Source organism: Homo sapiens, chromosome 18 (assembly GCF_000001405.40).
Source record: "Homo sapiens chromosome 18, GRCh38.p14 Primary Assembly".
Taxonomy (NCBI): Eukaryota; Metazoa; Chordata; class Mammalia; order Primates; family Hominidae; genus Homo; species Homo sapiens.
This window is the reverse complement of record NC_000018.10, coordinates 72,338,735-72,361,707: the sequence shown is the minus strand read 5'-3', so window position 1 is coordinate 72,361,707 and position 22,973 is coordinate 72,338,735.

The following is a 22,973-nucleotide window of genomic DNA, read 5'->3' as shown; positions in this document are numbered from 1 at the left end:
GTGATATGTACTATGGAATAAAGAACAAGCAGAGTGGGGTAAGGAGGATCAGGAACACCAAAGGAGAGAAGGAGGAGGTCATTGTAGTATCTAGGATGCTTAGAATGAGCTCATGCAGAAAGTATCATTTGACCAAAAAATAAATAAATAAATAAAAAGGAAGGGGAGGATATCTAGGGAGAGGTTGTTCCAGGCAGAGAAGTAAGCCAGTACAGCCCATCTGAAAAGGAGAACAGTCTGTGATTGAGGAATGACCAGAATACTGGTGAAGGTGAGGTCAATGTGAGCCAGTGATCATGAGAAGGAGGAGGTGAGGTGAGAGGTGTTTGAGAGGCCGGATCCTGTTGGGCTTCATGGGCCATAGTGAGGACCTTGGTTCTACTGTGAATTAAAGGGGAGGCACAGAAGACTTTGGAGCAGAGGAGTGACCTAATCTGAGTTACACTTTAGAAGGTGATATGGTTTGGCTGTGTCCCCACCCAAATGTCATCTTGAATTGTAGTTCTCAAAATCTCCACTCGTTGTAGGAGGGACCCTGTGGGAAGTAACTGAATCATGGGGGCAGTTACCCCATGCTGCTGATTTGCAGCTAGTGAGGGACTTCTCACGAGATCTGAAGGTTTTATAAGAGGCTTTTCCCCCTTTTACTCGGCACTTCCTGTTGTCATTATGTGAAGAAGGACGTGATTGCTTCCCCTTCCACCATGATTGTAAGTTTCCTGAGGCCTCCTCAGTCATGGTGAACTGTGAGTCACTTAAACCTGTTTTATTTATAAATTACCGAGTCTCGATGTGTGTTTATTAGCAGCTTGAGAACGTACTAATACAGGAAGCTCACTTGGTTCTCTGTGAGAAATAGCAAGCAGAGTAGTAGTGAGAAGGTGATGTTGTAACCTGGGCTATTTAGGATGGTGACTCATGTCAGAGAGGTGCAGATCAGATGGTGAGGAGTGCTTCAGTTTTTGTATGTATTTTGAAGATTGTTCTGAATATTTTTTATGTTTTACTTTGATTGGTTGGGGGTATCATAAAAGAAAAAAGAATTAAGGGTGTCTGTAATGTTTTAGGTGAACAATTTTAATTATTTAATTATTTTGATTTCCTCATCTGAATTGTAGAAGCCTGTGGTGAAAAATTCAAGGAAGATCAGGCATCAGTTGGGGTTGTGTGGAATTTGAGATATCTCTTTGGAAATGTCAAGCAGTGGGTTGGATATATGAGTTTGCAGAGGCTTAGACACTTAGGCAGGATGTACAATTTTGAGAGACATCAGCACAGAGATGATTCATAAAGTCATGGAACTGGATGAGACATAGAATAATACATAGAAGATAAAGGACATAAGACTAAACAGTGGGGCACTGCAATATTAGGAAGTCAAGTATAAAAGAAGAACCCATTAAATAAACTGAGGGAGAGTGACTCAAGTGAAGTAGAAATAAAACCAAGAAATGTTGTGTCCTGGAAGCCCAGTGAAGAGAGTTTCTTGAAGGAGAAGAAGTGGTCAACTGTGCCAATTTCTGTCTTTAGGCCAAATAAATAAAGACTGAGAACTGGCCATTGGTTTTAGCAACATTAAGATCATTGATGATCTTGTTAAAAGCAGGATTTTTTTTTTCATGGAGAGATGGGTTTAAGGGACTGGAGGGGGTAATTAGAAACATATAATATTAAAAACTTTTTCAAAAATATTTGCAGCAAGGGGAACAGGGAATGGAGTGGTAGATAGCAAGGAAGTGGGATAAAGAAAAGGTTTTAGGGTTTTTGTTTCTTTATAAAGGAGAAAATAAAGTTGATCATTTATATTAATGGAGACAATCCAATAGAGAGGCAATATTTGATGCCGTAAAAGAGAGAACTGAGAATTGCTCAGAGCTATGTATCTGAGAAAAGATTCAAATTTAGTAAGCAGTAGAAGAATGGTCTTTAGAAAATAACAGACATATCTCAACAACTGTTGGAGGTGTGTACAAAATATGGAGTCAGGTGTTGGTAGGTAGGTGCAATGGTATGGAATGGAAGCTACGGAGTTTCTCTTTTAACTGCTTTGATTTTCTCAGTTAAGAACAATGCAGCATTTTCAGCTGAATGAAGTGGGTGGGAAGATGTTGAGATTCAAGAAGAGGTGATGTTATTTAAACAGCAAGGAAGAAGGAGAATGAATAAACTTGAAACCTTTAGTGTAACTTTCAGATAGCATTATAAGACCATGTAGGTCCATAATCATGATTTTTTTTTTAAGGTGAGATAAATCAGACTGATTCTGTGTCTTCCTCCAGCCACCTTCAATGGCTGTGATACAGGTGTGGTCTGAATAGACTTAGATTTCTGCCCATGTCAAGAAAGATGGGGGCAAGGAAAGGAGTATAAAAGTTGACCTGAAATTTAAGCTAGATTTCTCACCGTCAAGGGGATAAGAAACAATGAAAGAATGGGATAATTAATTACTTACATGTTTTGTTAGGTAAAAGGATTGTTAGGAGCAAGATACAATCAGAAGTTAGCTGAAAATATAGGTGGTTGGCAAGCATTTAGAGATGCTTTGCAGTTTATATTATAGATAACAGCAAATTTTTTCAACACAGTCCTAGAAGTGCGAGGAGAAAGGCAAGATTTACAGAGGAGAGGAGTACAATGAGTGAGAGGGTCAGAGTACAGGAAATCCCATCTACACATAGATTGAAATCACCAAGACTTAAGGCAGAGGTAATTTTTGATAAAATTATATTAGCCTGGAGGTAAAATGTCCATAAATATAGAAATATGACCCAAGCATTAACAGTTGACAACAGCAATGTAACTAGTTGGTGACATAATAATATTATCATTATTTTAAACTAAGGAGAATGAATATTCTGAAAGTTGTCATGAGAAGCTAGGAATCCCCTAACTCACCTCCTTGCCCAGAGAGACATAAGATGATTCAGAAGAAAATCAGCCACCCTGAGAAGGCTTCAGGGGAAGCAGCATCATTAGAGCACATGTAGGTTAAGGAGGCATTCAGGGAGTGGAATTAGGATATAGGGGTGTTGCTGAAAATGGTCCCCAAATTTCAGAGCATACAGAAATTTTAGAGGTTGGAGAGAAATATAAAAAAAAAATAGAGAATAAATTTATGAAGCGACGTGAAGAGGCTTACAACTCAGATAATTAAAGACCTGGAGGTCTTAGGTGCCTTCATGACTGCCCTCAACTGGCATAAAAAGTCATTATGAATTCAAGACAGCGGTGATGTGGCTATAGGTCTTAGAGGGCAGGAATTGGTGAGTGTCTGGGCCTTGTTGATGATTATGATGATGGTGGTAAATTGGTTGTTTCATAATGATGAAGGTAGATTGTCCCATGTCATGGTGGAGATGGGGATTCCATGATAATAAAAGCAGTTGGTCCCATTATGACAGAGGTAGTTGGTCCCATGATGATGAAGGTAGTTAGTCTTATGATGATGAAGGTAGATGGTTCCAGGATGATGGAGGTAGTTGGTTCTATGATGGTGGAGGTATTGGGTCCTATGATGATGGAGGTAGATGGTCTCATGATGATGGAGAGAGATGGTCCAAAGACGATGGAAGTAGTTGATCCCATGATGTTGAAGGTAGTCTCATGATGATCAAGGTAGATGGTCCCAGGGTGAAGGAGGCAGTTGGTCCTATGATATTGAAGGTAGTTGGTTTCATGATAATTGAGGTAGATGGTTCCGTGATAATAGAGGTGGATGGTCCCATGATAACAGAGATGGGTGGTCCTATGATAATGCAGGTGGATAGTCCCATGACAATGGATGTATGTGGTTGCCAGAAGGCATAGCCTTAGTCCCAGTGTAGATTCACTCTCTGACCTCTTTAGGGAAGGAACATTATCTTTCTGAGTAAGTGTTGTTCAAATTGATTCTTATGGATAAACTTGAGGGAATTTTAGATAGTTGAGTAACACCAAGTATTTAAGTCCCCTGTTCATCATAGTTGATAGGAATAAATGCTTCACTGGTGTTATCTGAAGTAATATTAGTGTGAAGTGATTCCTCAAGGGACTTTCAATTTCAAAGTTTAGGTGGGAAAAATGGAATAATATAGAAATTATCAGAATTTTTGTGTAACTAAAATTTTATTTCTGAGATTTAAATGATAATTCTGTTAAGTCACAGAGAATGTTTTAATGAAACATTTTATTAGATTCTAATCAGTTTTCAAACTTTCTCAGTTTTTAGTCAATTTATGTTGTAAGCTGTTAAAATAAACATTTATTAATTTTACAGGATATTGAAATTTTCATATAATTTCAGAGATACCAGAGATGTATGTGTGAAGCATATATTTGAAAATCAGAAATACCTCATTTAATATATATTGTGCAAAAATCCATTTTGTAATAATTAATTCAGCTCAATTCAGATAAAATATTTTAAATTAATTTAGTATTAACAATGTTCTGTAAAAGAAGGATATGAATAATACATGTGGATTCTTGTGTAATAAGAAAAATTGATAGAAGTGTAACTTTTTGTATGCCCAGTCACCTTATCTTATTCTTACATTTGGTTGGGGCAGAAACTTATTTCTTACAATGAATGCTGAAAAAGTTCCCAAATTGCATTTCTTAGTACTTAAAATTAGGTCAAAATAGTGTGACCCAAAACTTGAATCAGATGCATATCCTACTCTGGAAAAGAATGTGGAAAAAATAATAATGCAAAAGAGACATACAAACACACACACACACCGAGAGAGAGAGAGAGAGAGAGAGAAAGAGAGAGATGCAGGTGGTTGACTGCATTTGAAAAATAAACACAAGAGATCTCAAACTCAATACTAATATCAAGTAGCAGTTGTCCGAGTTTCAAAGTTGGAATCTAATATCCAACCAGTAATGCCAGGAGTGATATCCCAGGAGTGATATCCCAGGACCAGCACCAGAACTGGCCATGGTTACAGGGTACACATCACATGTGTAGCAGTGGTGATGGTATTCTAACAAGTCTTTTAAGTGGTATGATTTCTACAGTGATTATAATCACTGAATCACATTTGTGTTTGTCAATTTCCTTAACCAGATTTTTCTGCCTTGCCCAGAATTCAGGTACTAGACATCCTGGTATAATACACAGTGGAGAAATAGCTGTTTAACACATGACATAAAGTGTGCATTGAAAAACAGGGCTTTGGCGGATGTGCAGAGAGCTCTCCTGGCCTCTCCAGACATACTCTCCATCTTTCCTCACACTGCTTTTTGCCTGAAAGGATGATCTCTAAGAACTATGTCTACAGGTTCTCTCAAGCTTTTGGTTACGTTACACCCAAAGTAGGCACTGATGGAAGACTGGACCACAGAAAAGTGAGGTGTGTTCCCTGGGTCCATCCCTGCCAGGCTACAGAATTGCAATGATGGTATTTCCCTACCAAGGGCTGCAGTTTCTGTAAAGGGGGCCTCTTCTTCATAGCCAGTTCCTTCCGTGGCCCTGTGGGTGATGTCGTAGTTTCCTGTGGCTGCTGTAATAAAGCCTGCAAACTGGGTGGCTTAAATCAACAGATAATATAAGGAACTTAAACAATTCATCAAGCAAAAAAGAAATAACCCCATTAAAAAGTGGGCATAAGACATGCACAAACACTTCTTGAAAGAAGACATACAAGCAGCCAACAGACATGAAAGTGCTCAACATCACTAATGATCAGAGAAATGTAAATCAAAACTACAAGAAGATACCATCTCACACCTCAATCAGAATGGCTATGAATAAAAAGTCAGATAACAACAGATGTTGGCATGGCTGTGCAGAAAACGGAATACTTGTACACTATTGGTGGGAATGTAAATTAGTTTAGCCTCTGTGGAAAGCAGTTTGGAGATTTCTCAAAGAGCTTAAAACAGAGCTACTAGTTACCCCAGCAATCCCATTGCTGTGTATATGTTCAAAAGAAAATAAGTTATTCTACCAAAAAGACACATGCACTTGGATGTTCATCACAGCATTATTCACAGTAGCGAAGACATGGAATCAACCTAGATGTCCATCAAATATGGATTGGATAAAGAAAATTTGGTACATATACCCCATGGAATACTATGAGTCCATGAAAAAGAATGAAATCATGTCCTTTGCAGCAACATAGATGCATCTGGAGGCCATTATTCTAAGCAATTAACCCAGGAACACAAAACCAAATACTGCATGTTCTCACTTATAACTGGGCGCTAAACACTGGGTACTCATGGACATAAAGATGTCAAAAATAGACACTGATAACTACTAGAGGGGAAGGGAGGGAGGGAGGGTAAATGTTGAAAAACTAACTATTGGATACTGTATGTCCAGTACATGAGTGACAGGATCAATCATCCCAAACCTCAGCATCACAGGATATACTCATGTAACGAACTTGAACGTGTATCCCTGATTCTAAAATAAAAGTGGAAATTATTTTAAAAACAGGATATTTATTCTCCCAGAGTTCTGTGGAAATTATGAAAATCAGTTCACAGCAAAGTATTCTCCTTCTGAAGAGCTGAGTCTTTTATATGTTTTTCTTTAACTTCTCCTGTTGCTGGGAATCCTTGGTGTGCCTTGCCTTGTAGTCATCACTCCAGTCTCTGCCTCTGTCATCACATGGTGTGATGACTCTGTTCCTGTCTCTGTGACTCTTCTGCTCTTCACATAAGGACACTAGTCACATTGGATTAAGGGCCTACCTACTCAGGGTATGACCTCACGTTAACTAATTTCTTGTGCAATGTGTGGAATTGCAATGACCCTTAGGAAATCTGAAAGCACCAAGTAAAAGCACATTCTGAGATTTTTTAAAGGACACTAATTTGGTGAGGGGGTGGGGAGGTGCTATCTAGCCCAGGACAGGTGGTAATGGCTTCCCTGCTCTTGTTAGTCCCAACATGGGATGTTTAGTTATCTCTTATTGGTTTCACTTAATCATGCTCACAGCTTTAAAAATATTTCCTTAATCAAATTTTCTCATTTTCCCTATTTGAATGTTCTGTTTCCTGGTGGGACCCTGACTGATACAGAGGTCCAGTGATAAGAGCTGAAATAATTCAGGACTTAGGGTGGGTATTCTGTATGTAAGAGTATAGATGTTATATTTAGGCAGAACTGGACAGAGAAAGAAAGAAAAAGAAGGAAAGAAAGAAAGAAAGAAAGAAAGAAAGAAAGAAAGAAAGAAAGAAAGAAAGAAAGAAAGAAAGAAAGAAAGAGAGAGAGAAAGAGAGAGAGAGAGAAAGAAAGAGAGAGAGAGAGATAGAAAGAGAGAGAGAGAGAAAGAAAGAGAGAGAGAAAGAAAGAAAGAGAGAGAGAAAGAGAGAGAGAAAGAGAGAAAAGAAAGAAAGAAACTTTCAAAATCTTAAATCTGTAGCTTATGCAATAGGCCAAAACCAATGGCTTTTCTACAACCATGGAAAGAATTTCTCATCACTTCCAGCTCCATGGCTAAGATACTTAAGAAACAAACTCAACTATTGATCTTGCAGATGGCTGAGATACAATATCAGTTTCATTCACAGCCTTGTGAGGTCTCATAAAAAGTTAGTGTATGGATGATGAACGAGTCAGAGCCTGAAGATTGAAAATAGTGAAATATAGAAAGATGAGAAGACACAGAGAAATGAAACTCAGCACTTTACTTGGCCTGTTATGCCAACCCAAGCATCAGAGGCATTTTAAAGGAGTTACATCAATGATAGGAGAATATAGTCATAGAAAGATCTTAATTTATTGGTGCAAGTACATTTACTGGAGATTCTAGATTCAAGGTGCTAAATTAAACTATTGGGAGAGTTCTAATTATTCCCATAAAACCCCAAATTCTTGCCATTATGAAAAAACCCAAGGACTAGAGCACGGGAATCCTGGAACAGATTTATTATGTGCAATGAAAACTTCACCTCCTAACTATGTTTCCTGAGATGGCCTAGAAGTCGATCCTATTACCATAGTTTTTACAAACACATTGGTACAGAATTGTAGGTTCTTAGGAAAGCAGCACTATGTGAAATTTTATGATCTGGTGATGCTGGTACACATGCTGCCCATTCTAATGGGCTACCTGAATTCTCTGGGTATGGATGGGTTTTACTTTTGGCCACCAGAAACAAGGCACATGCATTTTTATACTAAGCAATACTGCTTCAGTAGTAAACAGAATGTTTGACTCCCAAGCATCTTAGGTAATTGTTGATGATTTATTTACTGGGATAGTAATTGTTGGGTAGCCCACTAAAGTTCTATCATGCTTATATGATTTACCCCATACTCTAGGTTTAGGAAATAGATTATATCCACCAAAATAAAGATCCTGTGTTCTGATTATTTTAGTTATGAGGCATTTATTTATTTATTTATTTATTTATAAAAAGCAGCCCTCCCTGAATGAACAGTAGAGCTTATTAACCCTCAGACTGAGTCTGGCAATGACATTGCTGAGAATATTAAGGGAAGACCTAATAAGTAACATCCAGTTTTTGCCAGAATGCTGATTGAATTGGATAACAGACGTGGAGAATACAGGTTGGGCAAAAGAAAATATCACTTTTACTGCTGGTAAAAGTGTAGATTGTGTCTGTGGACAATTGTGCTTTCCAATGTTGACCTTTGGAATTAGAGACTTCTTTCAAAACACAGAAAATGCTCAACCATTTATGCATGTATCTCAATGGAAACAGTCTTCATGTGCAAATTTATGACACGGAGGAGCAGAGAGGAAATGTATGCTTTCTATTTCTTGTTGGTAGTTCAATCACTAAAAGAACTAAGGAGCTGAACCTAGCATCCTGAATTTATTCTTCCTGATTTATTAATTAGATAATTTTTTCTTCTTTCCAGGGAAAAAATGGATGAGGGGTGGCAAGAGAGATCAGTAAAGCTATTTTATTGGAGCTCTGTTTTCATAGAAAAGTCCAGAATGGATAAAAAGCTTTTGCCTGATTCCAAAAGACACTGCATCATTTAAAAAGGAGCAGTAGCTAATGTATTGTGCCCTGTTACTTATCATATTCTTTTCATCAGCCAAGACCACAGATCGGACTCTTGGGGACAAATCATAGTTTTTTTTACATCCTTAAGCTGCAAAACTGAGGAAACAGCAACCCTCTTCTGACATGAACAGTGATGGGACTCAATCTGGTAGCTAGAACTGTGTGGCATGGTGTGAGCTTGGTCCCTAATTCTGTTCCAAACTCCATTTATATTGATTAGGTGAACCCAGCTTTTTCCTCACCACAGTCAGGCTGGTGTAGAGCTTTGCAGATAAAGCTAAAGGATGCAGAGGAAGCTTTGCTATCATACTTGTTTCTCCACTAAAAGACTGAGAGAGAACATGCCTGCCCGTAGTATAGACTGGGAACTGGGACCTAAGCCTTGTGGTTAAAGTGTTACCATGCTAAGGCTCAGTCATGCCCACTCTTCAATCTGCTTCCTTGTCACTCTGCTACAGGGGTCAGAAAACTACAACCCACAGGTCAACTCTGGCCTCCCCCTGCTTTTGCAAATAAAATTTCATTGAGCCACCTACTTGTTTACATATCATCCATGATACGTATCTTGCTTTTATGACACAGTAGCAGAATTGAATAGTTGCAATGGAGACTGTCAAAAATTACCACTTATAATATTTACTATCTGTCCCTTTACAGAAAAAGATTGCCAATCACTGCTCTACTAGGATGCATTGTCTTAATTAAACATTCAGCTATATCCAGTTTCCATGGTGCTCTGCAGGAGGGTAGTTTTGTTTATGTAAAGTCATCTTAAACAAAACTTGTCTTAGACTTAAGTTTACCCCTACTTTTCAGTCTATACTTGATTTCAAAGTATGTCACCTATGCCTCACACTCCACTGTCAGCAACCCATACTCCTTCAACCCACAAATGTTGTGCAAGTTGTCACTGGCATTGTTTTTGAGACGCTGGAAGAAGCCAGGACAATAAATAGGAAATGAAAACTCATGCATAATGTTGTAATCCATCCCCTACATCATCAGCAACTGGGGGAGTGAGGACAAGACAAGAGAATGGATCTCAGAATACCGAATGCAGCACGATGGACACTGCTGCTTTGATCCGTTTGCAATAGATAGCGTTAGCCAGGGTGCAGAAACCACCTTTAAAGAGAGCTTTTTTGTCTTCCAGTGGTAACCTGGCCAGGCTAATATGGTCTGCCTCTGCCTCTGCCTCTGGTGCATTCAGTGACAGATGGTAGATGTAGATTTACAATAGACTAAGGGAGGAGAGCCCACATTGTGAGAAGTACATCTGTAGGCTGGGGATGCGTCTCCTGGGGGGCACCCAAGTACAAGACAGTTAACAAGAACAAGCTAACTCCATCTTTTATGTTTCCAGGTATTTCCTTCTTGCCAGGTGAAGCGTTTTACTAGTTCAGACAACCTGCAGGTGAGTGGTGAGCGCTGGGTTAGGAGAATTTAAAATAAATTTATAGCAGCCTAAAATGACTGCTTAGGCAATCTAGTGCCCAATGCTCCAAGTGTCAGGGGCATGGTGTACATGGGATTGCATGCTTGGTCACCAGCCTTCATCGCCTGAGTGGTCAAATTTTCAAGCATCTGGATATTATGCCTAGACATCCCAAATGTAAACAGTGTCCCCTTTTAGTGCTTGATTGAAAGCAGAGGGAAATGACAGCTATTGTACAGACATTGCTTCTGCCTCATGAGTGAGCCTGTGTGGTCCAGGGGCAGGCTGGCTGGTGAATTCTTGGTGCCTCTACACACATTAATCATTTTATTATCCTAATCTCATAGGGGGCTACAGTTTTAGAATCATCTAATTCTTTTTTTCCACGTGGCCTCCACATCCTTGAATCGTCCTGGCTGCAGAGTTACTGTAACCCTATGACTTTTATTAGCTAGATGGGGTATAGCTTCTCCTGCAAGCACTCTCACCAGTTGAAAATATTACATCATATAGTACTCATTACAATGGGGTAAGTATATTTCTAAAGGAGTTATAACATAAATAAAGCAGTTAAGCAGTTATTACCTTAATGGTATATGTTCCCCAACTGAAAGTTGGTGAAGGAAATGGCAGCATGAGATGGAGAAGGAAGTAGTAGATTAATAAAGAATAGATGTAACCTAATGACCATTTGTAAAGATTCATTTGTTCATTTGTTCATATATTTTAATTTACTTAAAACCATCCTTTTTCTTTCTCCCCTCTTTATGCCCATTGAATATGGAGCATATAAGTAATAAGTTAATGTTGCCATTAGTGTCATAGGTTGCTGAAAATTAAGTCTTAAATGATGACAGAGCTAGCAAATGAAAGACTACTACCCAGAAATCTTAGACTTGGAACTAATAAACTAATAGATAACTGATCACACTTACAAGATTTTGGTTAGAAAAAGAAGGTACATATGTTTTCAGGTTTTTTAAGCATAAATGCATTACTTAATGCAAGATAGTTTTTAAATTTTAAAATAAAAATATAGTCAATGGGCATACTTAAATGCTAGAAAGCCATGCAGTGTGATGTAATATATGATTATCATCTAGACATGCTTGATTTATTTAAAGTCTGTCTATATAGGAGGTTTTAGGAGCAATAGACACTAAGAGATCTTAATATTCTTGTTCTTTCAGGATGCTGAAGGTTGGAGTGTTGCCATGTGAGCCAAGATTGGCCAATTTTGTTTTCTTAACTAATACTTGAAATTGGAACATAACTTAGGACAAAAGTACACAATACACATTTAGAATTGATTCTTTTAGTTATAAGGAAAAAACATGACATTCATTATCCAGTAGAAAATTGTGTTAGTGTAGGTACTCTGAGAAGAAGATTGTAACATGGAACTAAGCATGCAAGGATTTTATTAGAGCAAACATCCGAGAGGGAAAATGGGAATGGAGAATTCAGAAGTGGGAGGTTCACTGGATGAATTGCAAGCTCCATTGCCAGGACCACAGCCAGTATTCCTTCTTTCCCTCTTTCTCATCATCCTCTTTCCTTGACGGGTCCTGGTGGCTTATGTAGCATTGAGACTCATACCTTCATCATCCTAGAGTGGTCTGAAATGTGATAATCAGAACTGCCTCTGTCTATGGCTACTATATCTGTCCATTCTATCACGATAGGGCAAAGGATTAGTAAAAAGCACCCTAGTCAATCACCCCAAGGTTCACACATATTCCTTTATTGTGTAGAGGTAACTTTACCTTTTCCTGCTGATCAAGGTCAATGAGCCAGGCCAGTATGGTGACTCCTTTTCTTTTTGATGGCATATTTAATTTAACCAACTGGACTGCATAAAAGATAGACATATCCTGAAATGTGATAGCGGACCACCACACAACCAACCAAGTAGTATCCTTGATTGCAGCTGCTGTGCCAAGTGTGGAATATTTGCTAGAGCAGATTAACCCAGCCCTAGTGTATGATATGTTTCCTTTAATCTGGAAACTGAATTATTTTTCAACATTGTGAGAAAAGAGAATCAGTAACAGTTGACATTCACTTGTAATGAATGGAGCACAGCATATATTTATAATCCTGCTGCAAGGCTAATTAACTGTCCTGCCTTCATCATTATGAGGGCTCTATGAGTTTGATATTACCACCCTAAAATGATTATAAACTTAATGAAATAATTGACACAACTTTATTATATTATAGTTCTGTAGATCAGAAATACAACTCGAGTTTTACTGAGCTAAAATCAAGGGGCTGGCAGGACTGCTGTCCTTTCTGGAGGCTCTAGAGAAGGATCTATTTCCTTGTTCATTTGGTTCATTGGTAGAATTCAGTTGTATGTGGCTAAAGGCCTGAAATCCCCATGGCATGGCAGGATGTTGGCTGACAGTCATTCACAGCTTCTAAATGCCAGCCACATTCCTGGTTTGTGACCCTTTCAACCATTTTCAAAACCAGTGAAGCTGAGTTGTGTCCTTCTGTCCCTTACATTTTGAATTTCATTTTTCTCCTTTACATTTCATTTTTTAACTCATTTCTCCAATTTTTTTAATGGACTCATGTAATTGAGCCCACTGGATATTCCAGGATAATCTCACCATCTTAATGTCCATACCTTAATTACATAGTCAAATTGTCGTTTGCCAGATAAAGTAACTTATTCATGGGTATTGGAGATTACAGTGTGGAGATCATTGGGGGGCTGTTATTCTGCTTGCCACAGTCAACTTGCTAGCCCTCAAATATTGATGTCAGCCCTTTATACAAAAACATTTACCTTATCCCAAATTCTCAAAAGATCTCCACCCATTACAACATCAATTCAAATTCCAAAATTTTATCCAAAAGTTCTCAATTCAAAAAGTTCAAAATCTCATCAGTTGAGTCACCTAAATTAAGTATGTATCTGTGGACCCATGAGACTAAAAAAACAAGTTATCTGCTCCCAAATACTATAGTGAGGTTGGCATAGGATAAGAGTTACAGACATTCTTGTTCAAATGCGGGGGAAAATGAAAGGAGAAAAGAACCCATCTCCTACAACACAGTCTCAGAATTCAACCAGGGAAACGCATCTTGGTTTTGAAGCATGGTGCTAATCCTCAGTGTTGCACGGCTGTGCCCTAGAGGTTCACAGCTCTGCCCCCTGTCCTTCCAGGGCCAGCACAGTAAAGGAAAAGAAGCTGGGGACCAAGCACTGGCACTCCTGTGTTTCTGCCCGGCAATGACATGTGACGTCCATCAGCCAGAAGTGTGACCTTGTGTGGTGGACAGAATAATGCTCCCACCTCCAGTCATGTCAATGCTTTAACCCCAGGACTCTATAAATAAGTTACATCATATGGCAAAGGGGAGTTTTCAGATTGTAATTAAGGTTATAAACTGGACCTTAAAATAGGAAAATTATTCTGGATTATGCAGGTGGGTCCAACTTAATCATATGAGTCCTTAAAAGCAGGAAACTGTTTCTATGGTGGTGGTGGGGAGAACAGGAAGTTAGACTCAGTGTGAGAAAGATTCAATGCACATTTCACAGCTCTGAGGTGTAGGTTTCCTCCTGCAGAGAAAGGAGAGAAGCCTCTAGCCTCTACGGATGTTCCCCAACTAACTGCCAGCAAGAAAATGGAGGCCATAATCCTATAATTCAAAGGAATTGGATTCTGCCAACCACCAGAATGAACTTGGCTGCAGATTCTTCCCAGAGCCTTCTGTGACTAGCCCAGCTTTGTGAAACCCAGAGCAGAGGAATCAGTCCAGCCAATCTGGACTTCTGGCATCCATAACTGTATGGAAATACGTTAGTATGGTTTAAAGCCACTAAATTTGTGGTAGCTTCTTATGGCCACAATAGGAAACAAATGCATCATCAATTTTGCAGGGCTCAGAAATGCAGTTGACCAAGTGTTGTGCAAAGACGAGTTACCAAAAATATTGGTGAGGATTGGCAATACCCTCATAGGTAGCTGAGGAATCTTAGCAGTAATCATAATGGCATAAGGACTGCCCTTTTATTAGTCATCAAAAAGTAAGAACTTCGTCTTGGGGAGAAAACAAGCAACTGAAGGAAATCTGAAAGAATCATTTTAAAAGATACAAAATGGAGAATATCAGCTCTAAATTAAAAGTAGTGATGTTTTATGCATCTTTATCATCACAGTATTCAGTAATATATGTTCAGTCAGTTCAAGGATATTTGTGGTAAAGGCATGAGTAAAAGTGTTAATAGCTTTTATGAAATAATCCAGTAGGAAAGGTATTAAAAGAGGGATAGATGCTCATCTGTGTTTATTTTTTCCCTTAGGGAATATGGTTACATCAGAGAACAAATCAAATCCTTAAACACAGAGAAAAACAACAACAAACATTCACTAGGAAATGATGAAAATTAATATACACACGCATTTGTTAGAGAAACTGTCTGTTTATGCCAGGTTTGTTTCTTTAAATATTTGATTATTTAGACTCTGAGTGTTAGAAAAAAATATAGAATTTAAATACTTTCTGAATACTATCACTGTCTCTTAAAAAGTAAACAGAATATATTAAAAATTCAGAAAAGAATGAAATCATTTCAAATTTGAGAAATAAATTATAGATTTTTTAATCTGTGATTGTTACCTGTCTTTTTGGTTTCTGCTTTTGGGTTTTTCTTTTTTGAGACAGTGAGATAACATTAAAAAACATTAATGTGATTATTATATGTTTAGAAATGTGATAAGTTTGAAACCCCCTTGTATTTATTACTGATCTGTCGAAATTGAGATGTTTATTCAGGATGATCATCTCTTTGTGTCTGTAACTTTAAAAAAGATTTTATACAAAATGTTATTGCAATATGTGAGATTTACAGCCACAGCTGTAAATGTTAGTAGCACCATGTAGAACCTCATAATTTACAAATCACTTTCCTATCAATATTATATGATTCTCATGAGCCCATGAGCCAGGCAGAAATGATTATGTTTATGAGAATATTGGGGCTCAGAAAAGTTTGTTATTTTGCCTCATGTTAGAAGGGATTCTTGTCTGTTTTTCTGTTTTGTTACTACATAATTATTTTTAATATATCATGATTCCTTAATAGATTTACCATAAATATTATTTTTTAAACTTTCCATAATTGATATACAAATTGAGTCTCAAAATTCAGATTAAGAAAGCAATATTTTAATTTTCTTCTTCCAAATAATGAGGTCTTATTTTATCGTTTTTTACTTCTTCTTTAAATATACCAATCATGAGTTTGTTTCTGGTCTGCTATTAAGTTATAACCTTCTATGAAAAACTGATAATTAGAACCCTTAGTTTCATAAATTTTGTAAAGAAAAATGATTTTCTGGCACACTCCTCCTTCAAGAAAGAAGTTGGAAGACCAAAGTTTAACTCTACCAACATATACACCTTTGATAAACAAAGATTTTCAGTGAACAATACTTTTGTTTGTAGTTTCAATTTCCATGAGTGATGTAAATGTGTCTTTTAACTTATCTTCCCTAATATTTACTATCCAAATGTGTCTATGTGTCAAACCCATAATCTCAGGCACAAGTTGTTCTTTTTTGTACACATCAATTTAGTTTTTATCCAGGCATCTGAGTTAAAAGATTGTGCTGTTTATCTCTTAAAATCCTAACTCAGAAAAATGTATAAAAACCCCACAGCACAGAGATAAAAAATAACTTCATGAAATAATTACCAGAGCTCATTATGTTAAAGCTTAGTACAGGGCATCATTCCAATTGTTCTATATTGTATTTACATGTTCTTAAAAGTGTTTAATTTCTAGCAAAAAATACTACACAGTAGAAAAGTTTGTTACAATACTTTTGGAATTTTTTAAAGGTGGGATTGTGAAACATTTTATTTACTGCTTTGTATGAATATTGGCATTTAAGCCTGATTTTAGTGTCCATATTTGATAATGCTGTCTGCTCAAATTGGATTTAAAAGGGCATATTTTGAATTCAGAAGACCAGGTGTAATACACAAATACAACGTAGAACAAGTGGAATCACGTATGCAGAATCTCCTCACTCTGCCCAGCATAAAGTAAATTCCTTTTCCACCTCCCTTTCCTTCCTCATTCTGCCATTTATTACCATGAACTGGGCACATTTCGTACGTATTTAAACACTACATTAACCTCGTATGAGATATGCTACGCATGTATGTTTTGCAAATAAGGAAGTTAAGATTTTTGAGGAGTTAAGAAACATGTCCGTGGCTAAGTGAGCAGTGGAAGAAGCGATTTTTAGCTTCACCAGAGGGACCCTAACACACAGCGCTCAATCATCGCATTATAATGTCCCTTGTGGCATAGGTGTCTGCTACCTTGAGGATGGAAGTAATAAAGAAGTAAAGGTAGATCACAAATATAAGGAAACGGTTAAACTGAGGGGAGGAAGGCTGAATATATGGAGCAGAGGGGAGTTTTAGGGCAGTGGAAGTATTTTGTATGATACTGTAATGGTGGATACATGTCATTTTACATTTGTCAAAATTCATAGAACTAGAGCACTCAACCTGAGCCGTAATGTAAATATGGACTCTGAGTGATAACGTTGTGAGGAAATTGGTTCATCAACTGTAACCACTGTACCCCTGTGCTGGGGGTGGGAGGAGGCTGTGCATGTGTGGTAGGGAGGGAGAGAAGAGGTAATTAGGGGATGAACTCTGTATTTTCTGTTTAACTTTGCTGTGGATGTAAAACTGTTCCGAAGATACAGTGTATAAAGCATGCAAGCAAACAGTGCAAGCCTCCTGGTGCACCAAAGTTATTTCTGATGCAGCTCTCCTGCCATCGTTCGCAGCCTGAGAAACACCAATACTGTCTCAGGAGTTCTCAGACAAGCCATGCACTGTGTTGATGATGTCCAAACTACCGACTTCTTTCTCATAGCAAGAAATCAATAATAATTTCTAAGATTGTTTTCTGATATTTCAGTTATTTTATTAATACAGGTATATATTGACTGCGTTTTCTTTGGACCAAAATACAAATTGAATTTTATACATGTACATTATAGGTCTAGGTAAATAACTTTTCTACTTTCTATTAAAATGTGTCAGAAAGCCTATTTAAAAATTAAAGTCTATAAAAAGCATATCTAGTCATTAAAGATTAAAAATATGATAGATTTGAACACAAAAGTTTGAAACTCTGAAAATTTTTGAGAACATCAAACAATCTAAAGTTGTATCAATGTGTTGTATAATTAGCAGCTACTTTTGTTCTGAGTTATGATTCAAAGATTTTTGCCAAACCAAACATCTGTAAATAAATGTGAGATTAAAATAAATACATCAAAGCTTTCAATTTATCCAAGTGATTTTTTAAAAAAAATTCTACTATTTTAAATTGTTAAAATATTTTTATTTGTACAAATTTATGAGATTCGTGTGAAATTTTGTTACTTGTAGGCCAAGTGTAGTGATGAAGTCAGGGTAATTAGAGTGTTCGACTCCTGAGTACAGTACATTTTTTTTTAAACTATAGTCACCATACTCTGCTGTCAAACATTGTATTTATTCCATCTATTTTACTGTATGTTTGTACCCTTCAGCCTGCTTCCCTCCATCCTTCCCCCTACCCCTCCATTCACACTTCCCAGTCTCTGAAACCTATTTTTTCACTCTTTCCCTCCATGTGCTCAATTCTTTTAGCTCCCTTAGGTAAATGAGAACATACGATATTTGTCTTTTTGTCTTTGGCTTACTTCACTTAATATAATGACTTCCAGTTCCATCCATGTTGCTGCAAATAATATGATATCATCTATTTTATGGCTGAATAGTATTCCATTGTGTATATATCCCACATTTTTTTATCCACTCATCTGTTGATGGATGCTTAGGTTGACTCCATATCTTTGTTATTGTGAATAATGCTGCAATATACATAAAAGTGTAGGTATATTTTTTATATAATGATTTCTTTTCCTTTGGGTAGATATCCAGTAGTGGGATTGCTGGATCAAATTATAATTATATTTTTAGTTTTTTGGAGAAGTCTCCATTCTGTTTTTCATAGTAGCTATACTAGTTTACATTCCCACCAACGGTGAATAAACATTCCCTTTTCTCCACATCCTGGCCAACATGTTATTTATCATAGCCATTCTGACTGGGGTAAGATGAGATCTCATTGTGGTTTTGATATTATACATGTTTCTGCAATTTCTGTGTATCCTACTCGTAAATTTTATGCATCACTTATTCTTAGAAATATGTTTTAAAATATAACTAACATAGCTGCAACTTATAACTTACAGAGTTTCATTTTAAGAAATAGGGCTTTGGACTGCCCTTACTAAAAGTCTTTAATAATTGAAACTTACTCTTGAAAGTGAGGGAGGCACTTTTGATTGGTTATCTTAATTTGATAATTTATTTCTCCTCTAAGAGCTAAATTATTCGTTTACCAATTTATTTTCAGATTTTTAACTTTGACTATTATTTTAGATTCAGGAGGGGACGTATTCAGCTTAGGTTTACTTGAGCCTTGTGTATTTTGAATGCCAACTGTATTTTTAAAATTATAATCATGACTTTAATATTAAAATAAATGTGGTTCTCTTTTTCAAAGGACAATCTTTCCTCAGCAACTTTTATCAGAAAAACCCGCCACCTTAGCATATCCTGTCCAATTTAAAGTTTATTTATATAAAATTAGTAAAATATAACTTTGTAATTCCAAGGAGAGTTTAAACCCTTATAGTTAATAATTCAAGTTATTGAAAATTAAATAAAACTTCTCCCCAATTTTTTTTGCGAGTGAAGTAGAAATCAAAAAGGATAACATAGTTTTAATTCCATCAAAGTTAGGGATACATCATAGCAAACAAATAGAAGTGTAGTTTCTGAAGAATTGTGTCTTTAAAAAATGTAGTTATATTTTCAAATAAGGTTGCTTTTAGCCACATGTAGCTATGCTAATTTAAATTTAAAATAATTAACACAAAATAAAATAAAGTAGATTACTTTCTTTGCCTCACTGTCTCCATTTCACTTGCTCATTAGCTACATGTGAATAGTGGTTGCATAATGTACAATGCAGATATAAAACATCGCATCATCCTTGAAATTGCTATTGTGTAACAATGATCTGAAATATGATTCATTTGAATTTTTCTGACAATAGTTATCAGAAGGCATTCAGATTGTACTTTTTAAAATCATACTATATATTGCCATAATGTCAGTAACATTTTCTTGATGATTGTATGTGAAAACGCAAGAGAAAAACTCAATTAGAGCCGTCTGAAAGCGCTCAGTGCGCATTTTCAAAAGAAACACATAAAAGCCATATATGAAATGAAAATTTTGTTTATTCCAGTGAGTAACAACAGCGCAATGTGTAAATTCATCAATTATTTGGGTAACTAGTACTGCCCTTCGCAGTGCATGAATCCCTCCAATGCCTTCAACCTGAGGTTTCAATCATTTACGTACCTTTGGGTGTTGCAGTAGTTTTCTCAGAACCTCTGTTTGCTCGTATAAGGTAATCATTTACCTTAGTAGCTTTCAACACACATTGCACATTTGAGTCATCTTTAAAATTCATCTCCTATACAGGGGTCACCCAAGAAATACTTACTTAGTGCATTTGTGTGGAGTTAGGTAGTTTAGATTTCAAAATATTTCAGTTCAGTTACTATGTTCCCATCTAGGTTGGAAAATACTGACTTAAATGATCTTTTAAAAATTTTATCATCAGATAGAATTATCATACATTTACCTGTAACTTGTTTCACTCTCTTGACATTATATTGGATAGTAGACGCTTGCTTTTACATAATTTACATAATTAAGTATAAATTGACATTATATATTATAAAATATCTAAAATATTATAATAGATTATACCAAATAAAATATAAAATATAAAATAAAATAAAATAGCTAGATAAAAAGCTGTCAGAGGTTTTTATTAACTGTCTCACTCTGTCGCCCAGGCTGGAGTGTAGTGGCACAATCTTGGCTCACTGCAACCTCGCCCTCCTGGATTCAAACGATTCTCCTGCCTCAGCCTCCCGAGTAGCTGGGATCCGCCGGCCTCAGCCTCCCAAAGTGCTGGGATTACAGGTGTGAACCACTGCACCCAGCTTATTAACTGTATTTTTAAATCCTCTTCCAAAAGGATTAAGTCAAAATCTGAGCTCAAGGTCACTTAAGTTTTCAGTGTTAGAATCCTAAATGCAGAATGGGTGAAGATCTAGCTACTGTACTTCCTGGGCAAAATACCATTCAGTTAATTGGTAATCACAAATTAGAATGGATCTTCTAATAACTAAATTTTATCTGGTTAGATTACTTATTAAATTTAGGTACTAGCATTTGGGAGTACTGAAGACTCCTCATCCCAGCATACAGGCAATGTGAGAAATTAAAAAGCCAAGAATTTGGAGTGGGGGTTCTACATTACATGGAGGCAGCCTCTAAGGTGCTCTCCAAAAGTCTCTGCCCTGGTGTTTATACCCTTGTGTAATTCCTTCCCCCGGAATATTCCTGGCCAATTGTTTCTGACCAACAGAATATGGCAGAAGTGAAGGGATGTCACTTCTAAGAATAGGTATTACAAAGAATACAGTTTCTGATGTTAAGTTATACAAAGACTGTGGCTTCTATACTGGGCTCCTCTGTCTCCTCTCTTGCTCTTTGATATGCTTACTCCTCGGGAGACAGTCTTTTTTAGTGTAAAGACAGCCCTGTGCAGAAGCCTATGTTGTAAGGGATGAGATCTGCCAATAATCTAGTGAAAGAACTTAGGTGAGCATCCTCTCCCCACCAGTCAAGACTCCAGGTGAAATTGCAGCCCCCGCCAACAATTTGTCTGCACACTTGTGAGGGACCTTTATACAATGGCAAAGCTGCCACTGGATTCCCGAGGCTCAAAAACTGTGAGATTACAGTATTTGTTGTTTTAAACTATACTAACTCTGGGGGTAATTTTTTCATGTGGCAGTTCGTAAATAAGATCTAGTCTTTCAAATAAGTTACCATTGAATATTAAATATTGCATACTGGAAATGATCTACTTTTAAAACTTTGCCAAGGATATGTTTTTAAATATTGTGCCCTGGCAAAGAGCAAATTTGGAATCAGCAAAATATGTATTGCCAGCATTTACACAGATTGAACAAGATGGTATAATGTGCTCTTTTTTTTTGGCTGTTCATGGGGGAAATATTTTGGCAAAAGGTTTGTATGTGAAATTCAAATTAGAGATATATAAGAAATTTCTTATTCAGATAACTACTTTTAAGAAATGGTTGTGTATCTCTCCATCTAATATATTTATTGCATATATTTATCTACTTAGATGTACATCCAATTATTCTTTTCTTTATGTGTACATTGTGGGGATAGAGTTAACACAGCAGATCTGTTTTACTCAGTTATTGCTAATCTCTATGGCCACAAAAATAATCATGGTCAAATACTTGAAAATTAAATTACAGGAATGTTCACATGGTTACTGATTAGGGATGTTATTCTATAGGTCCAATGCAGTGGATCAAGGTGTGCCAGGCTGTCAACATTGTCAAAGTAAACATGAAGATTCATGATGTGCATCTGGTGCCTGGTTTAGGATCTGCACTATGGTTGGTCATGTAAATTGATCCATTTAAGAACATGTATCCCAAGACTTAAGTTGCTTCCCTTGGTGGAGATATCTTGCATGTGCCTTCACTGTTCCTGACTGGAGAGAAAAGCAAGTTTCTCTGCCTTTACAGAGATCAGGAGACCTTCAAATCCTGTTGATAACCATTCTATCATTTTCTATGTATATTTTCCCTGCTGTTTCCACACTGTGTGCTTCTTTGTAATAAAATCTTATCCATGAGTTTGTGTTGAATCATGTAAGTTCTTCCAGCTGATCACCAAATTATTGGATGGTAATGGGACTCTTGAAATATAACAAATATCATATTACAAATAATTTGCTGTGACTGATGAGAACCCTTAAGCTTGAAATTAGCTAACTAAATTTTAAGATATTTTATGTATCTTTAATAACACTGCATTTTCCTTGTCTCTAAGAAAGTTTGTGTAACATTTTGTTTAAATGGTAATTATATACATTTTAGGATATTTTTAATGAAGAAGAAAAAAATAACAAATGGTAAGGTTATGGAGAACTTAGAATTCTTGCGCATTGCTGGTAGCAATATAAAATAGGGTAGTACCTATGAAGAACAGTACAGCAATTCTTCAAAAACAACAACATAGAATTACCATATAATCTAGCAATTTTACTTCTAGGTATACACCTAAAATAACTGAAAGTAGGGTCTTAAACATATATTTGTATGTCCATGTTCATGACAGCACTCTTCACACACCCAAAAGGTGTAAGCAATTCAAGTGTCCATTGACAGATGATCTGATAAATTGTGCTATATATGTACAATGGATTATTATTCAGATTGAAAAAGGAAGGATATTTTGATACATGCTACAACATGGAATGACTTTGAGGACATTATGCTAAATGAAATAAGCCAGTCACAAAAGGGAAAATATTGTATGATTCCAC